Consider the following 19,169-nt stretch of genomic DNA (forward strand, 5'->3'; position numbering starts at 1 on the left):
CCTCCCAGGTTCACGTGATTCTCCTACCTCAGCTTCCCGAGTAGCTGGGATTAGAGGTGCACACCACCACACCCAGATAATTTTTTTTTTGTATTTTTAGTAGAGACAGGGTTTCACTATGTTGGCCAGACTGGTCTTGAACTCCTGACCTCGTGATCCACCCTCCTCGGCCTCCCAAAGTGCTGGGATTAAAGGTGTGAGCCACCGCGCCCAGCCAAAAGAATTCCCTTCCTTTTGAAGGCTGAATAATATTCTATTGGATGAATATACCACATTTTGTTTGTCCATTTATCCATCGATGGAAACTTGGATGGCTTCCACCTCGTGCCTATTATGAATGCGCTCCTATGAACACGGGTGTTTGAGTCCCAGCTTTCAATTATTTGGGGTATTATCCGGAAGTGGAATTGCTGGATCATATGGCCGTTCTAATTTTATTTGAAAGAATTCACTTCATTTATTGATCAAAATGCATCATCTGGGGCACAGACATCTGAAGCCACTCATATTCTCATGAATCCTTGTGTTCTTCTGAGAATGATTTGTTATCTATTTAGTAGAACCACCATGCTGGTTTCCACAGCATCTGCGTCATGTCACAATCCCACAACAGTGCCCAAGATTCCAGCTTCTCCACATCATTGCCAACACTTCTTAGTTTTTTTTTTTAATAATGGCCTCCTACGGGTTGTGAAGTGATATCTCCTTGTGATTTTGTCTTCTTCTTCTTTTTTTTCCTTTGAAACAGGGTCTCACTCTGTTGCTCAAGCTGGAGTACAGCAGTGCGATCTCAGCTCACTGCAACCTCTGCATCCCGAGCTCAAACGATCCTCCTGCCTCAGCCTCCTAAGTAGCTGAGACTACAGGCATGCATCATCATGCCTGGATAATTTTTGTATTTTTAGTAGTGATGGTGTTTCACCATGTTCCCCAGGCTGGTCTCAAATTCCCGGACTCAAGTGATCTGCCCACCTCAGCCTCCCAAAGTGTTGGGACTACAGGCATGAGCCATGGTGCCCAGCCCTCAGTGTGGTTTTGATTTTCATTTTTCCCTAATGTTTGGTGATGTTGAACCACTGTCTGAATTTTGGAAATGGTTAGATCAGCTACCTCACTGGGTGGTGAGGAGGCTTAAAGGAGAAAAATGCCCTTGGTGTGAAGCCAAATCCCTAGCATAAGTGCTCACTAAAGGTTGTCCATCATTACTTTTTCTAATTGCTTCTTGACAATCAACCCAGAGGCCTGGCCCTTCGGAGGCATGGGGCTTGTGTGTGTGATGATGGTCTCCCCGTTGGACACTGGGTCTCTCCAGAAGCCCCTTCTACCACCACGGTCCCCCACAGCCTGGGACATGTGTGAAAGCCACCAAGTGAGGCAGGAAGCCTGGTGAGGGGTTGTTGTTGGGTGGTGGGAGGGCGGGGGGTGGGAAGAGAGATAGGTCCAGGGTGGCCCAGAGTCCTCATTGCTTCATGAGGACTGGGTACCACCTGCCCTCTGCTTCAGTTTCTCCCTTTGCCACAAAAGAGGCTATCTTGCGAGGAGGTGAGATTCACAGTAATGCCTGTAAAGAGCTCTGGAATCTGCCCTGGCAGCCTGGCTGTCTGTGTGGGACCCAGGGTAGTGTGGAGGGTGGGGCCCTGATTCTGTTCTTTCTCACATTTTTACTGCATGCTCGGTGGACAGGCTCTGATGGCCAGAGCCCACATCAGCCCTAAAAGCTCCTTTGAAGTGAAGCAACCACTTTTAAGTGCAATTATTTTGAGATAACCCTAAACTCCCTGCTCCTAAGCCAGGAATGTCTCCTCCTCTGCCCCAACCCTCCACCGACCCACCCCCACCCAAAATCAAACCTGACTCCATTCTTTAAAGGCGTTGCTTCCAGAGCTTGGGAATTATCTGCTTTGATTGTGGTGGTTGTGGTGTTTGCTTTTGTGTTATTCTTCTGTGAAAACAAGAGATTGAGGAGTGTAAATATGTTCCTAGTAGGAATGCTCTGAGGAGGATTACAAAACAATTGAAGGGTTAGCAAGGAGAGTCCAAGGAAGGGAAGAAAAGAGAAAAATTGCCAAAAACTCAGAGCTGGAACAGAAGAAATTGACCAACAGGCAAGGATGCAAAGTGTGATGTCACTTTTTCCAAAAGACTGGGGTGACCTGAGGCTAGAAAGGCAGGAAGGAAAAGTTCATTTACAATTACAAGTTTAAAAAGGTGCATGATGAATTAAGGCCCAGGACTGGTTTGGAAACCAGTGGGGTTTGGGAAATGCAGAGAGTTAGGGAACAGGTGTTAGGAGTTTGGCTGTGACGCTCACGTTAACACTTTCTATGCCAAGGGTTGGGGAAGGAGGAGGCTCTTAGGAGCTGAGCCTGAGCTCGTCTGGGAAGCTGAGTTGGTGATGTCCCCACGCAGAGGCCCTGGACCCCGTGGCTGACTGCTGAAGTGCTGGACAGTGAGGTGGGGGATGGGGGACAGTGCTAGCTCCTCAGAGGCAGGCTTAACTTCCCATCCTGCCACCACCCCTCCTTGGTTGCCTGACCTCTGGCAAGCCAGTCAACAACTTGGAGCCTCCTGGGATGGAACATTAGCAGCCACCTTAGGGTGGTCACCCGGACAAAATCAGATAAGTTGTGCAAAGTGCCTGCCATGTATCATGAGCTGGGGAGGCATTTCCTTTTAAAGTGGTAGAACTAGGCCATGGGCGATGATGCTTGGCCTCCATCTCTAGCCCTGGCTGCCTTGACACGCTTGCCTCTGCAAGCTCTCACAGAAGCCTTTTGCCCATGGGGTCAGAAATGCCATCATCACTTGTCTTCCTGATAGGTCCACTTGGTTCCCACTTTGCCAGGGTTCTTGCTGTCTTAACATCCAGGTGACGAGGCCACGTTTGAGTACAGTAGATTCAGGAGGGTGTAGGCAGAAAGCGTGCAGTCACCTGGGGATGCTGGCTGTCTTGGCTGCTCCCTGGGTAGATGCTACCGAGGACTCTGGAACTGGAATCCTGCCGGGGATCCCTGGCTGTGTGTGCTTTAGGCCTGCGTGGGGTGGTGGGGGGCCAAGGCTCAGACAAAATCATTCGGCGAGGGTGTGCCCAGCACTGAGCGGGTGCCTGCAGTTTGGGGGCTGTGCTGGAGGTGCCTGGAAAGGAGGGATTCACTGAGTTGACGCTTAAAATGGCCTTCAACGCAGCGCACATGACAAACCTTGAACTCAGAAATTCTTACAACGATCATCTAAACAAACTCCTTCCACCTCCTCCACATGGTCCCTGTGATTTCCTTTCCCCTTTGAAACTGGCTTGGTTGTTTGTGGAAACTTGGTCTCAGCTGGGTGAAACTGTGGGGCGGTGGAGGGAGGGATGCTCTCGGCTGATCCGTCTCAGATTTCGAACTCTGTGCTTGGGTCCCCATTCACTCAGATTCATTCACTCATCATTCATTCTTAGTTTATATTTCTTTATTTTAGAGGCAGTCTCCTGTCACCCAGGCTAAAGTGCAGGGGCATCATCATGGCTCCCTGCAGCCTTGACTCCCTGGGCTTCCTGAGTAGCTGGAACTACAGGCACATGCCACCATACCTGGCTAATTTTAAATATTTTGTAGGGATGGGAGTCGGGGAGGGGGCCTCCCTATGTAGCCCAGGCTGGTCTTGAACTCCTGGGCTCAAGCCATCCACCTACCTCAGCCTCTCAAAGTACTAGCATTATAGGCATGAGCCACCACACCTGGACTTTTTTTTTTATTTTTTATTTATTTATTTTTTTTGTGACGGAGTCTCTCTTTGACACCCAGGCTGAAGTGCAAATGGCTCGATCTCAGCTCACTGCAACCTCTGCCTCCCGGGTTCAAGCGATTCTTCTGCCTCAGCCTCCCGAGTAGCTGGGACTACAGGCTCCCACCACCATGCCTGGCTAATTTTTGTATTTTTGGTAGAGACGGGGTTTCACCATATTGGCCAGGCTGGTCTCAAACTCGTGACAATGTGATCCACCTGCCTCAGCCTCCCAAAGTGCTGGGATTACAGGTGTGAGCCACCGCGCCTGGCCCTCATTTATTTTTAATTGTAGTAAAAAACCACGTAACATAAAATTTACCCTCCTAACCATTTTCACATGTGCAGTTCAGTAGTGTTAGTATATCTACACTGTTCAGTAGTGTTAGTATATCTACATTGTTATACAACAAATCTCCAGAACTTTTCATCTTGCAAAGCTAACATGGTACCCATTAAAGAACAACTCCCCATTTCCCTTCCTCACAGCCCCTGGCAACCGCCATCCTACTTTCTGTTGCTGTGAGGTTGAGTTCTTTAGATCCCTTAAGTAAGGGGAATCTTTTCATGGACATATGTGTAATCATTCACTTCACCTCAAGGTTCTTCTGTGTTGTGGCAGGTAGCAGGTTTCCTTCCTTTCCACAGCTGCATCAAGTTCTGTTGTGTGGAAAGAAAACATTTTCTTTCTTTCTTTTTTCTTTGGGCGCAATGTTGGCTCACTGCAACCTCCACCTCTCAGGTTCAAGCGATTCTCCTGCCTCAGCTTCCTGAGTACCTGGGATTACAAGCACACGCCATCATGCCCGGATAATTTTTGTATTTTTAGTAGAGACAGGGTTTCACCATGCTGGTCAGGCTGGTCTTGAACTCCTGACCTCAGGTGATCCACCTGCCTTGGACTCCCAAAGTGCTGGGATTACAGGCGTGAGCCACCGCGCCTGGCCGAGACCACAGTTTCTTATGCCACATTATCTTAGCATGGGGTACCTCGCATCTGTTGTGTGATGTGTCCAGCCTGGATTCGGACTATGCTGTTACTGGCCATTATTGCACACCCACTGAACTCCAGGGACTGTTTTAACGTCTTAGGTGACGGTCTTTAGGAAGTTCTCACACTTTCGGGAACCTCCATTGCAGGTGGAAAAGGTCTTTGTTCCTCCCGCCTCCCTGACCCCCAAGAACACGGTTGTTCCACCAGAACAAGCCCTCATTCCTTGGCCATGTTTACACGTTCTGAATGAAGGATTCAGCTAGGAACCTCTACTGCTTTGGGAAGCATTTCAAAAGATAGAAATAAGAAAAATGAACAAACATTCCTGCATTTTTGAAATGGTGACATTTCATTTGGGCCTCACACCCACTGTGTGAGATTTGTGATCTCCACGTTTGGGATGAAGAAATGGATGTGTGAGGTGGAAGAAGGGATGGGAGGGGAAAGGGTAGCTTGGAGCAGGGCTAGCAGGAGGCAGCGAGGTGCTCAGGCTGTAGTACCTGCCCCGAGAGGAAGCGCCCTGCACATCTGTGCCCTGGGTGCTCACTTGACTCACCTAAGTCCTAGCTCTGGGCAGGAGGCTGAGCCTGAGAGAAGCCCCCCCAAGGCCAGGAGCAGGTGTCCACACCCCAAGGTCTGAAAGCCACCCTAAAGTGGGTTCAGGGCTGTAAGGGGCTCCGTGTGGGAAGTCAGGAAGGCCCCCGGGGGCTGAAAACAGAGTTTGACCTGAAAGAGGCCTGAGCCCCAGGACCTGCACTGTGTCTGAGTTAATTGTCCCCACCCTCTGCCTGTCCCTTGTCTTAGGTGTTCAGTCCTAATTACTGCCTTTTTTTTTTTTTGAGGCGGAGTCTCGCCCTGTCGCCCAGGCTGGAGTGCAGTGGCATGATCTCGGCTCACTGCAACTTCTGCCTCCCAGGTTCAAGCGATTCTACTGCCCCAGCATCCCGATTAGCTGGGATTACAAGTGCGTGCCACCACGCCCAGCTAATTTTTTGTATCTTTAGTAGAGACAGGTTTTCACCATGTTGGCCAGGCTGGTCCCAAACTCCTGACCTCGTGATCCTTCCTGCCTCGGCCTCCCAAAGTGCTGGGATTACAGGTGTGAGCCACGGCACCCAGCCTTAATTACTGCTTCTTAACATCCCTACAGGAGCCACCTGAAGGTGCTATGGATGCAGGTGAAGAAATGACATCCAGGCAGGGCTTATGCAGATGCCTCTTGCCTCCAAAAGGAGGATTGGGTCCCTCTGCTGTACTTAAAACAACTTGAAGCTGGGAATTGTGGAGGGGGGGAGGGGGGGAGGGGGCCTCAGTCCCACAGAGACCTAGCTCCCATTTCGTGTGGCCAGGGTGTTGAGAACCTTTGTCCCTGGAGCCCCTGTGCTGAGTCATAAACACATGGGACAAATTCCAGCAGTAAACGACCATTCACTAAGTTGCAAGTGACTTTCTCAGTCTTCTTTGCTTTTGTGCAGAGAAGACTGAGAATTCAGCCCTAGAGAATTCAGCTCTGGTTGTGAGTGCCTCTTTTCCAGGGCAGAGACTTCTGGAAAAGCAGATGGAGCCTTGTGGAATGGGGCTCTCTGCCTCATCTGGGGAGTGACTCTCGATTCCCCTCACCTGTCCCTCCCATCACACCTGGGCTTCTTTGCGGTGACAGGTGTGTGTCTGGAGAGGGAGTAGAGTGGAACGCAGGTTTGGTTGTGGGATGTGGGGGTCGCAGAGGTGCACCCTGGGATCTGAAGGCTGGCCTCTGTCCTCCCATCTGGACGGGCAAGGAGCTCAGCCTCCCAGACTCTGCTTTCTGACTCATCTAATGGCAGTCCTCATAATTTCCTCCTAGGATGGTTGAGACGGTCAAAAGGAAAGCAGGTGGGAAAACTCCTGGCGAAGCAGAAAGTGTTCCGCTGTGGGGAGGTTTTATTTTTCCCTCATGAGGAGTGGACGGTGGAGATGGGGGGACAGTGGGAGGGAAAGGCCTGGGCAGGCGTGTTTGGGAAAAGATGATGAAGGGCACTTTGGAATTTGTAGATACCAGGAGACTAAGGGGAGGAGTGCTGTGGGGGGTCATTTGGGGTTGGAGGCTGAATAAGCAGGGTGTGGAGTGGGGCAGAAGAATCCAGCATCTCCCAAAGTGGAGGGATAGTGAGCAGTTGCTGCGTGTGTGGGGTGTGTGTGTGTGTGATGTGTTTTGTGTGTGCTGTATGTGTTTGTTGTGGTGTATGTTGTGTGTGCTGTGTGTGGGTGCTGTATTGTATATGTAGGGTGTGTATGCTGTGTGTTGTGTGTGTGGTGTGATGTGTGTGTGTTGTGGTATGTGTTGTAGTGGTATGTGTTGTGGGGGTGTGTATTTGTGTGTGTGTTGTGTGACGTGTGTGTAGGGTTTATGTGTTGCATTATGTGTTGTGTGTATGTTGCGTGTGTTGTGTGTTGTCTGGTACATTGTATTGTGGGTGTGTGTTGTAGGGATGTGTGTGTTGTGTGTTATGTTGTGTGGGTATGTGTGGTGAGTTGTCCATTGTGTGTTGTGTTGGGTGTGTGATGTGTGTTGTGTGGTATGTTGTACTGTGTGTGTGTGTTGTGGGGTATGTGTTGTATGGATGTGTGGTGAGTTGTGTGGTAAATTGTGTTGTAGGGGTGTGTGTTGTAGGGGTGTGTATTGGGGTGTGTATGTGTGGTGTGTGTTATGTGATATGTGCATTGTGTTGTGGGGTGTGTGTCGTAGGGGTGTTTGTGGTGTGTGTTGGGGTGTATATGTGTGGTTTGTGTTGTGGGTATGTGTGTGTAGCTGATGTTGGGATGCATTGTGTGTTTTGTGGGTGTGGTATGTTTTGTGTGTTGTGTTGTGGGTGTGTATTATAGGGGTGTGTGTGTTGTGTGTTGGGGTGTGTGTGGCGTGCCTTGTGTGGTATGTGGTACATTGTGTTGTGGGGTATGTGTTGTAGGGGTGTGTGTGGTGTGTGTTGTGCGGTGTCCTCCTGGGCATGTTCCCACCTTGGCAGTGCTGTCTCTGCCTGGGCCGCCCTTTGGGCAGCTGCTCCTGAGCCCTGCCTGGCTTAGTTGGCCTGTGCCCGCCACCTGGTGGCCGAGAGTGGAAGGGCAACCGGGCGTCTCACCACGGCCGTGGCTTGGGCGCATCCTCTTTTGAGAATAGGTCCTTGTTCCCCTCTTTGCTTGTGTCTCTTCTCCTCAGCGTCTTGCCTCTACCTCCTTCTCTCAGCTCTGTACCAAGGGGGTCGGATTTCAGGTTTCCCTAAACGTCTCAGCGTGAATGGGAGTGAAGTCTCCAAGGCTGCCTGCCTCCCAGGGCAGTCGTGAGGATGACATGGCTGAGGAGGGGGCTGTGACAGGATGTGGCAGCTCACAGGCTCCTCAGGCATGACAGGAGAGGTACAGGATGAGCTTGCAACCCCCTCAGAATCAGGTGGCTATTGTGGAGCAGCCCCTCCAGGATCCCAGCACAGGTTCCGTCCCTGCCAGTTTACGGGAAAGGTGGCCAGGTGTCAGCGGTCAGGCATTTCTACTCCACGTAACACCCACCTGCTGTGTATTTTCTATTAAGGATTTTCAAAAAAAACAAGGGAATTATTTGAGACGCATAAAGTTACATTGTGTGGATTTACTAAGCAATTAAAGCAAATGCTGTGAGTAATTGCAGATGTGCTGTCCAGGTATTGTTCTAGTTTTAACTACTGATCCCTTCTCCCTAAAGAACAGGCCCTGGTCCTTTAGACAGAGCTGCCTGGGCTGATAGCTCTGCCCTAAGTGCGCGATGATTCCTTCATTCATTTGTACATTTGGTTACTGATGTAACAAGTATTCATTAAATCCGCAGCACGTGCCTGGCACTGTGCTACATACTGGGGACAAAAAAGATGAACAAACACATCCTGCCCTCCAGGGTCCTGACTACAGCTAAGAGGCCACATCAAGATAAATGCAACAAGCCTGCATCAGGGGGCTTCACCTGAGCCAAGGCTGTTGTCCCCAAAGCGTCTGACATGGGGGCCTTTAAGAGTTAGTGTTTCAGGAATACACACACCGGTCTTTTCAGACTCATCTGTGTGAAACTCACATTCTGATGCTCTGAGATTCTGATGCAATCGGTCTATGAAGCTCCCGGAAGCCAGGTGTGTAGCCCCTTTTCTAGAACATGACTGGGATAGGAGAGTGGAGACAGGGCAGGGGATTTCAAGGCGACAGGCTGGTGCTGCCTGGGGAAGAGGGGCTCTTAGAGCAGCCAGGCACCTCTGCTGATTGGCCTGGACCTAGGAGGCCAGGGCCCCATGCTCTGTGCTGTGGGCTCCCACCAGGTAGCAGCGGCCCCCACAGAGAGAGTGCGGCCTGCCAGTGGCAGCTTCGCTGTCTGGCACAAAGTAAGTGAGGGTTTAATGACATTGCCATGATGTCTTTCTTTTCTTGGGTTCCTGCTGCCTGCACCTGGCTGAAATACAGCGGGGTGGGCTGAGGCTTCTGTGTTCTCTTGGAGTTGATGGTCACAGCTCCTTGATCTGACTGGCCTGGCTTGACTGGATCACAGAAAAAGCTGCTTATTCACCTAAACAGGCCAATGTCACCAGCAAGACTGACTTGGGATACAAAGCAACTCTGTATCTATGGCTTATTTCCAAAAGGATGTTCTATAAACATTAACTCTATGTAATTTATAATATTAATAATATAATTAATATCACAATATTGTATATAATATATAATCAATATAATCATAATACAATATTATAAAATTAATATAATGTTATAATAGAATTAATAGTTACACTATCATATAATACAATTAATATTTATAATATAGTTAATTTTTATAATATTAATTTATGAAAATTTCAAATGCAGAGAGGGAAAAAATGAGAAGACAAGAGAAAAATGAGAGATTGATGGTCAACTTAGGATATATTGGTAAAACATAATTTAAGTTGTAAAAATAAACAGTTTTTTGAAGTAGCTACCCAGATGTTTTGATAAAATGACTTTTCAAGAGGTGGGGGTTGCATTCAGCATTTCCCAGGTACATTTGGTCATGGAGTCCTTCCTGGGAACCGCCTCTCCACACTACAGTTTGGGGAATATCAGTTTGGGAAACATTTCTCTATGGTTTTACCTTCTTCTTCTCCACCAGCATCTGACGCAGAGAGAATAAATCAGTAATACTTCAAGCCCTGCTGACATTCTCCACAAGGGTGTTACCACCCGAAGGGGATGAAATTGGCTCCTGAAGAGCAAAAAAATCTTTTTTTCTTTCTTTTTTTTTTTCCTTAGAGACAGGGTCTTGCTCTGTTGCCCAGTCTGGAGTACAGTGGTCTCGCTACGACCTCAAATTCGTGGGCTCAAGTGATCCTCCCACCTTAACCTCCCAAGTGGCTGAGACTACAGGTGCAGGCCAACATGCCTAGCTAACTTTAAAAACTTTTTGTAGAGACGGGGTCTTGCTATGTTGCCCAGGCTGGTTTCAAACTCCTGGCTTCAAGCAGTCCTCCTGCCTCAACCTCCCAAAGTGTTGGGATTACAGGTGTGAGCCACTGTGCCCAGCCCAAATTCTTATTTTTTAAATGTATAAAGCACAGATATACATTCAGTCCACAAACTGATATGTGGTATATCTGTAGCATTAACGTTGCATAAATGAGGGAGCGTTAGGAGAAAAAATGTCTATAAAGGCTCCACAGGAGGGTGATTGCAAAAAGAAGAGAAAAGGGTGAGAAATGCTGACATAGACGCATTTCAGTTGGTCAGTTGGTGAAATGGAGTTTGGTGAGGCTCTGCCGCTGTGCACGTTGGGGTGAGTTGTTTACCTCTCTGAGCTTCAGGTTTCTAACCTGGGAAATGAAGCCTTTTGCCACCTCATAAGACTGTGGTGAGCTTTAATGAGACAAGAACAATGCCTGACAAACAGGAGGTGTTTGGAAAATGGAGGCTGCAGATAGACCTTTAAGCCTGAAACTTTGCTGTCTGCTCGCAGTAAGTTGTAGCACAGTCAGCTAACATACCGCCACTTTGGGCTCGTCCACCTTTAAGGCTGTAGACCGACAGATAAAGGCAAAGGGAGCTTGGTATAGGCAGGCTGAAGGAAAAGGACCTGAGAAACTACTATTTTACAGCTTACAAAGTAAACCAGGAAAGCAACTTAGCCTGGGGGGATCACCTGCTTGGTGCTAAGCTGCTCCTGGACACCAGGGTCCCAGACCTGGAATCAGACACTTCATCCTTGAGGCCCACCCTCCATGCACCCTGATATCAGAGGCTGGGATGGACACTGAGGCGGGTGGGATAGGCCAAGGCAGGAAATGTCTGCTGGACCTAAAAATAGTGTGGGAGGGAACAGGAAACAGAAACTTTGGGCCAACATGGAAATGCTTTCTGAATTGTCAGGAAATCAGGACTAGAGATGCAGGGGCAGCCACCACCCTACAGCAAAACTGCAACACCCCGTGAGCTCTCTACGTGGAAAGAACTGGAGAGAATCAGAGTTGGGTGGGCTGGGGAGGGGGGTTCCAACTGAGAAACACTAGGCTCACCTTTGTGTAGTTCCTAACATAGCACTTTTGTGCCCTGTTGATCCTATTTATTTATTTATTTATGAGACGGAGTCTCGCTCTGTTGTCCAGGCTAGAGTGCAGTGGCATGATCTCGGCTCACTGCAAGCTCTGCCTCCCATGTTCACGCCATTCTCCTGCCTCTCAGCTTCCTGAGTAGCTAGGACTATAGGCGTCCGCCACCATGCCAGGCTAATTTTTTTTGTATTTTTAGTAGAGACGGTGTTTCACCGTGTTAGCCAGGATGGTCTCGATTTCCTGTTCAGCCACCTCAGCCTCCCAAAGTGCTGGGATTACAGGTATGAGCCACCGTGCCCGGCCATATTTTTTTATTTTTGAGATGGAGTCTTGCTCTGTCACCCAGGCTGGAGGGCAGTGGCACGATTTTGACTCACTACAACCTCTGCCTCCAGGGTTCAAGTGATTCTCCTGCCTCAGCCTCCTGAGTAACTGGGATTTCAGCTCATGCTACCATGCCAGGCTAATTTTTTGGATTTTTAGTAGAGATGGGGTTTCACCATGTTGGCCAGGCTGGTCTCAAACTCCTGACCTCAAAGTGCTGGGATTACAGGCGTGAACCACCGCATCTGGCCCCTGTTGATCTTTAATTGCATGTAGATGTCATTCCTTATTGGGGTGACCAACAGTCCTGGTTTGTCCAGGACTGAGTAGGTTCTTGGAACTTTTTTTTTTTTTTTGAGACAGAGTCTCACTCTCTTGCCCAGGCTGAAGTACAGTGGTTCAATCTTGGCTCACTGCAACCTTCACCTCCGAGGTTCAAGTGATTCTCCCACCTCAGCCTCCCGAGTAGCTGGGACTATAGGCGGGCACCCCCATGGCTAATTTTTGTATTTTTAGTAGAGATGGGTTGTCACCATGTTGGCCAGGCTGGTCTTGAACTCCTGACCTCGGGTGATCCACCTGCCTCAGCATCTGAAAGTGCTGTGATTACAGGCGTGAGCCACCATGCCTGGCAACTTTGAGTTTTAAAAGTGGGGGGAGTACTAGCAAACTGACAAGTTGTTTACTCTTTCTTTACACAGAATGCTCAAGTGTCTTAAAGCATTAGTGCAGTGGGTTCGATCTTGCCTGCACAGAGAATCACCTGGGCAGTTATTAAAAATCCCCCAGCCCCAGGCTGCACTCCAGACCAGTTGAATTAGTCTCTGGGGTGGGACCCAGGTGTCTGTGTTTCTTTTCTTTTCTTTTTTTTTTTTTGAGATGGAGTTTCACTCTTGTTGCCTAGGCTGGAGTAAAATGGCACGATCCCAGCTCACTGCTCACTGCAACCTCTGCCTCCTAGGTTCAAGCGATTCTCCTGCCTCAGCCTCCCAAGTAGCTGGGATTACAGGCTCATTGCCACCATGCCTGGCTAATTTTTGTATTTTTAGTAGAGACAGGGTTTCGTCATGTTGGCCAGGCTGGTCTTGAACTCCTGACCTCAGGAGATCCACCCTCCTCAGCCTCCCAAAGTGCTGGGATTACAGGTGTCAGCCAGCGCACCCAGCTTATCTGTGTTTCTTAAAGCTCTCCAAGTGGGCAGTTCCTGTGTGCAGCCAAGGTTGAGAACAGGGGCTTCAGCATGGATGAAAACATCACCTGGGGCTTGTTTCCTGGCCTCATGACCAAAGAGTCTCACTCAGTGGTCTGCAGTGGAGGCTGGGGATACCACTTAAAAATAAGTTTTGCAGGCTGGGTGCTGTGGCTCACGCCCCTAATCCTAGCACTTTGGGAGGCTGAGGTGGGTGGATTGCCTGAGGTCAGGAGTTCGAGACCAGCCTGGGCAACATGGTGAAATCCTGTCTCTACTAAAATACAAAAACTTAGCCGGGCATAGCAGCGTGGGCCTGTAGTCCCAGCTACTTAGGAGGCTGAGGCAGGAGGATCGCTTGAACCTAGGAGGCGGAGGTTGCAGTGAGTCGAGATCGTGCCACTGCACTCCAGCCAGGGTGATGGAGCAAGACTCCATCTCCGAAAAAAAAAAAAAAAAAAGTTTTGCAAGGGTTCCCCTGGGCACACTTTGAGAAACACTGACCTAGAGTTTTATTCCCTATAGATCTTCTAGATTTGAACAGAAAGGGATGTTTTGATCAATCCAATTAAAACATTTATTAGGCCAGGCATGGTGGCTCATGATGGTAATCCCAGGGTTTTGGAAGCCTGAGGTGGGAGGATCGCTTGAGGGGAGGAGTTGGTGACCAGCCCGAGAAACATAGCAAGACTCTGTCTCTATGATTTTTTAATTTTTTTTTAAATCAGTCAGCTGTGGTGTTGTGTACCTGTTGTCTCAACTGGGAGGCTGAGGTGGAAGGATCACATAAGCCTAATAGTTTAAATGAAACCAGCCTGGGCGATATAGCCAGAGCGTGTCTCTCCAAAAAAAAAAAAAAAAAAAAATTAAACACACAGTGAAGGACTGCTGAAGGGGGTTACAAAGATGACTCAATCAAGGTTGCTATTCTTTTTTTTTTGAGACAGGATCTCACTCTGTCATCCAGGGTGAAGTGTAGTGGTGTGATCATGGCTCACTGCAGCCTTGATCTTCCAGGTTCAAACCATTCTCCCACCTCAGCCTCCCAAGTAGCTGGGACCATAGGTGTGTGCCACTATGCCCTGCTAATTTTTTTTTTTAATGTTTTGTAGAGATGCGGTCTCACTATGTTGCCCAGGTTGATCTTGAATTGCTGACCTCAAGTGATCCTCCCCACCTGACCTCCCAAAGTGCTGAGATTACAGGCATGAGCCACTGCTCCTGGCCCAAGTTTGCTATTCTAAATTCAATTCACTTTATTTGTTTTAAAAATTATTTTTTTTAAAATAGAGATGGGGGTCTTGCTATGTTGGCCAGGTTGGTCTTGAACTCTTGGCCTTTAACAATCCTCTTGCCTCAGCCTTCCAAAGTGCTAAGAATACAGGCATGAGCCACCATGCCTGTCCCACAATTTACTTTTAAGGAGCAAGGCAGGTACACATCAGGACAGCTGGTAACGAGAGTCACCCCTGGAGGCAAACCTAGTATTGAACAGATAAAAAGGCACTGGGTTGAGAGAACTCCTGGGTCATCATCACACCCCTAATATTAATGAGTTATGCATGCGATCCTAGGAAAATGATCCCCCTTTCCTTGTCCTCATCTTTTTCTGCAAATTGCAAGGCTTGGAAGACCTGACTTCTAAGGCCTCATCTTGTCTGACACTTTGGGATTCTGAAGCTGGCCACCATGTCTTCTCGAGTGTGAACCCCGAAAAACTGAGACAGGTCTCAGCTAATTTAGAAAGTTTATTTTGCCAAAGTTGAGGATGCACTCCTGTGACACAGCCTCAGGAGGTCCTGATGACATGTGGCCAAGGTGGTCAGAGCACAGTTTGGTTTTATACATTCTGGGGAGACATGAGACAGCAGTCAACATATGCAAGATGAACATTGGTTTGGTCTGGAAAAGCAGGACAACTAGAAGCAAAGGCGGGAGGCTCGAAGCAGGGAGGGGGCTTCCAGGTCATGGGTAGATAAGAAACAAATGGTTGCATTCTTTTGAGTTTCTTTCTTTCTTTCTTTTTTCTTTAATCTTTCAAGCTTTTATTTAAATGCCATGATCCAGGATGGATTTTTAGATCTTGTTGAAAGCAGCCACATCCATGGACTGCACATAGTCCTCAAAAGCAGTGATCTGCTCCTCCAGCATATCTGTTCCAACTTTATCATCTTCAACTACACACTGTATTTGAAGTTTCTTAATTCCGTATCCCACTGGAACTAGTTTAGATGAGCCCCAGACTAAGCCGTCTGCTTGAATGCTTCTGACACACTCCTCTAATTTCGCCATATCTGTCTCATCATCCCAAGGTTTCACATCTAGTAAGATGGAAGACTTGGCAACAAGTGCAGGTTTTTTGGCTTTCTTTGATTCATATTGTGCAAGATGTTCTTCCCTTAGCCTCTTTGCTTCTTCACTTTCCTCCTCATAATCGGATCCAAAGAGATCAATGTCATCATCATCTTTACTGTCTGTAGCTCCACTTCCTGTAGTGTCTTCCACATCGGCAGGACCATACTTGCTCAAAGCTTTCTTCACTCCTGGCAGGCCGGCCTTTTCCTTTTCGTAAGACTTGATGTGATTATACCAACGTAGGGCATGACACAAGTCGGCAGGTGGTGGGCCGGACACGGCTTCAAATACTGCCACATCTGCTTGTGATGGCACCATACCCCTTGATGTAGCTCTTGTCCGCCAGGTAATCGTTGAGCACCTGGAGGCCGGTGGGGCTTTTCAGGTCTCCGAAACCCATGGTGTCGGCTGTATCCGAGAGCTGGGGAGCAGCAGAAAGAGCTCTTTTGAGTTTCTGATTAGCCTCTCCAAAGGACGCAGGCACATATGCATTCATCTCAGTGAGCAGAGGGGTGACTTTGAATAGAATGGCAGGCAGGTTGGCCCTAAGCAGTTTCCAGCTTGACTTGTCCCTTTAGCTTAGTGATTAGGGGGCCCCAAGATTTATTTTTCCTTTCATATGAGAGAGCAAGTATGTAGGGCTCTGGGCAAGCAATCCCCATGCTGTGGACAAACTACTTGTATTTTACAAATAAGTGGCAATGCTTTGGCTAAGAAGAGAACACATTCGCTTGGGGAGAGAGAGGTAAAGTCACAGGGTCCCATGTGGAGAATGATGAGGGGGAGAACCTAGGGATTCCAGAATTGAGTTGACAGCAGCATTTGTTGCAGGTAGGAGAGGGAGAGAATGGGGGCTTGCTACACACACATTAGTCTGCTAAGGCTGCCATAATACAGTGCCACAAGCTGGGTGGCTTAACAAAAAGAAACTTATTTGGAGGCTTTCTAGGTCTGAGGTCAAGGTGTAGGTAGAGCCACGCTCCCTCTGAAGGCACCAGGGAGAGATCTGTTTCAGATCTTCCTCCTAGCGTCTGCTAGTTCTTGGTTTGTGGAAGGATAACTCCAAATTTTGCATGTTCTCCCTTTGTTTAAATTTCTCCTTTTTATAAGTCATATTGGATTAGGGGCCCACTCTACTCTAGTATGACTCATCTCGTCTAGTTCCATTTGCAATGACCTGCCTTCCAAATAAGGCTACATTCTGAAGTACTGGGGGTTAGAACTTCAACACATACATTTTGGGGGAAAATAAATAACTCAACCTGTAACAGTGGCGATGCACTACAGCTGCCGCTAAACAGGGCTCAATTTCTAAAGAAGGTTCAGAGATTCACAATGGCGGTGCATCCAAATATGCAATTTATTACTGGAGCAGAATATAGTATAGCTGCAATATCAAAGTAGGAGTGTCATCACAGCCAAAGGCTATGCCTCCCAGCAGGGGGTCTGGAGAGGCCAAGTCCAAGGTGTTTTTTTTTTGTTTTTTTTTTTTGAGGCAGGATCTCGCTTTGCTGCCCAGGTTGGGGTGCAGTGGCACGGACACAGCTCACTGCAACCTCGATGTAATTCTCCTCTCAGCCTCTTAGGTAGCTGGGATCACAGTTATGCACCACCATGCCTGGCTAATTTTTGTATTTTTTTGTAGAGACAGGATTTTGCCATGTTGCCCAGGCTGGTCTCAAATTCCAGGGCTCAAGCTATCTTCCCACCTCGGCCTCCCAAAGCGCTGGGACTGCAGGTGTGAACCACCACACTGGGCCTTTGTGGTGGTTATTTACATATTAAATGTCACTTTATAGTTCAGAGGTCTCTTGAGGAATCGGCATGCTGTGTTGTGTGTGTGTGTGTATGTGTGACTTAAGAGCAAAATTTTAGTTGTGGGGGCCCGGAGTTCTGGAATTTTTGCATTGGTTACACTTTTTGTTATGTGTGAAGCTGAGACCTTGCATGGTTAAGAAGTCGAAAAGACTACCAAATGAGGACTGGGTCCCAGCTGGGTCCTTTATTAACCATCTGACCCTAGCAAATTGTTTCTTTGTGCCTCAATTTCTTTTTTTCTTTTCTTTTTTTTTTTTTTGAGACGCAGTCTCGCTCTGTCGCCCAGGCTGGAGTGCAGTGGTGCAATCTTGGCTCACTGCAAGCTCCACCTCCTGGGTTCACGCCATTCTCCTGCCTCAGCCTCCTGAGTAGCTGGGACTACAGGCGCCCGCCACCATGCCCAGCTAATTTTTTTTGTATTTTTAATAGAGATGGGGTTTCACTGTGTTAGCCAGGATGGGCTCGATCTCCTGACCTTGTGATCCGCCCGCCTCTGCCTCCCAAAGTGCTGGGATTACAGGCATGAGCCACCGCGCCTGGCGTGCCTCAATTTCTTCTGTACAAGAAGAGATCATATTGCCTACTTTCCAGAAGTAAATGCAACAGTGTATGTGAAAGTCCTTTTTGACCTACGAAGTTCTGTGTAAGGGCAGGGTACTAGTCCTGCTGTAATTCTTCAGCCTTAACATTGTTTCCATGGGAAAGCTCAATCTGCTTTATGACAATTGGATTTATAACGTAGTTTCCAGGAATGCATTTGTCTCAAAGCAGTCTTTGGCCAAGAGCAACATAACCTGACCTAAGGATAAAATGCACTGTGGCAAAAGGCAGGAACTGCCCATGCAGGTTTTAACAACAAATGAAAAAGAAAAACTTTTACAAGCCATAATACTCATCTTGCCTCACCTTGTCCATCTATAGTTAAGTCCTTATATTAGTTAGGGTTCTCCAGAGAAACAGAAAAAAAGAGGGTGTATTCTCATGCTGCTATAAAGAACTACCTGAGACTGGATAATTTATTTAAAAAGAAGTTTAATTGATTTACAGTCCCAAAGGCTTAACAGGAAGCATGGCTAGGAGGCCTCAGGAAACTTACAATCATGGCGGAAGTCAAAGGGGAAGCAAGCACATCTTTACCATGGCAGAGCAGGAGACAGAGAGGTGGGGGAAAGTGCTACACTTTTAAACCATCAGATCTCATGAGCACTCACTCACTATCATGAGAACATCATGGGAAAAATCCACCCCCATGATCCAATCACCTCCCACCACGTCCCTCCCCTGACATGTGGGGATTACAATTGGAGAAGAGATTTGGGTGGCGACACAGAGCCAAACCATATCAGAGGGTCTCTCTCTCTTAAGGATTTGACTCAGGCAATTGTGGAAACTGGTAAATTCAAAATCTTTGGGATAGACCAGCAGGCTGCTGACCCAGGGAGGAGCTGCAGTTTGAATCCTAAGGCAGCCTGAATGACACCTTTGTCCATGTCACTGATCTTTCTGGCAGGGAACCACCTGCCATGTGGCCGGTGGGATGAAGGAGCAGGCTGACCAAGATGAATCCTCCCCATGTACTGCCATGTTGACTGCTCAGGATGTGGTCCAGAGGTGCAAGGAGCTGGGCATCACTGCCCTACACATCAAGCTCCTGGCCACAGGAGGAAATAGGACCAAGACCCCTGGACCTGGGGTGCGGTTGGTCCCCCGAGCCCTTGCCTGCTCAGGTATGAAGAGCCGGTAGATTGAGGACATCACCCCCAGCTCCTCCAACAGTATCTTCAGGAAGGAGGGTTGCTGTGGTCACTGTCTGTGAACAGGACTCCTCAAATTGTTTGCTGTTCATAAATTGCCTTTGTGTAAACTAAAAACCAAACAAAACCAAACAAACAAAGCCAGTCTTTTGGCAGAATTCCCTCTTGGTCGGGGTAGGTCAGTCTTCGCTCTACTCAGGCCTTCAAACTGATTGGCTGTCTTGCCCAATGTTGCAGAGGGTAATCCACTGTACTCAGCGCCTACTGATTTAGACGTTTGTCTCATCTAGAAAATATATCCACAGAAACATCTAGAATAATATGTTTCATGAAATATCTGGGTGCAATGGCCCAGCCAAGTTGACACATAAAATTCACCATCCCGGCCACCGTCTGTG

At 48.1% G+C, this 19,169-nt stretch overlaps 2 pseudogenes, besides 6 other annotated features; one reads left to right on the forward strand and one right to left on the reverse strand.

Annotated features, from left to right (window-relative positions):
* Positions 2,203–2,906: an enhancer, noted in NCBI's record as "H3K4me1 hESC enhancer chr7:131333987-131334690 (GRCh37/hg19 assembly coordinates)". NCBI's record gives its function as "activates a minimal SCP1, AML or CMV promoter by ChIP-STARR-seq in naive H9 embryonic stem cells {active_cell/tissue: H9 hESC(naive)}" and the evidence as "EXISTENCE:reporter gene assay evidence [ECO:0000049][PMID:30033119]".
* Positions 5,407–5,974: an enhancer, noted in NCBI's record as "H3K27ac-H3K4me1 hESC enhancer chr7:131337191-131337758 (GRCh37/hg19 assembly coordinates)". NCBI's record gives its function as "activates a minimal SCP1, AML or CMV promoter by ChIP-STARR-seq in primed H9 embryonic stem cells {active_cell/tissue: H9 hESC(primed)}" and the evidence as "EXISTENCE:reporter gene assay evidence [ECO:0000049][PMID:30033119]".
* Positions 7,665–7,959: a silencer, noted in NCBI's record as "tiled region #8940; K562 Repressive DNase unmatched - State 25:Art". NCBI's record gives its function as "represses a minimal TATA promoter and a strong SV40 promoter by Sharpr-MPRA in K562 cells {active_cell/tissue: K562}" and the evidence as "EXISTENCE:reporter gene assay evidence [ECO:0000049][PMID:27701403]".
* Positions 7,665–7,999: a biological region, named in NCBI's record as "Sharpr-MPRA regulatory regions 8940 and 15248".
* Positions 7,705–7,999: a silencer, noted in NCBI's record as "tiled region #15248; HepG2 Repressive DNase unmatched - State 12:CtcfO, and K562 Repressive DNase unmatched - State 25:Art". NCBI's record gives its function as "represses a minimal TATA promoter and a strong SV40 promoter by Sharpr-MPRA in HepG2 and K562 cells {active_cell/tissue: HepG2 | K562}" and the evidence as "EXISTENCE:reporter gene assay evidence [ECO:0000049][PMID:27701403]".
* Positions 9,055–9,606: an enhancer, noted in NCBI's record as "H3K27ac-H3K4me1 hESC enhancer chr7:131340839-131341390 (GRCh37/hg19 assembly coordinates)". NCBI's record gives its function as "activates a minimal SCP1, AML or CMV promoter by ChIP-STARR-seq in primed H9 embryonic stem cells {active_cell/tissue: H9 hESC(primed)}" and the evidence as "EXISTENCE:reporter gene assay evidence [ECO:0000049][PMID:30033119]".
* On the reverse strand, positions 14,875–15,640 carry EEF1B2P6 (eukaryotic translation elongation factor 1 beta 2 pseudogene 6; annotated as a pseudogene).
* Positions 18,488–18,883, forward strand: RPS14P10 (ribosomal protein S14 pseudogene 10; annotated as a pseudogene).

Source organism: Homo sapiens, chromosome 7 (genome assembly GCF_000001405.40).
Source record: "Homo sapiens chromosome 7, GRCh38.p14 Primary Assembly".
Taxonomy (NCBI): Eukaryota; Metazoa; Chordata; class Mammalia; order Primates; family Hominidae; genus Homo; species Homo sapiens.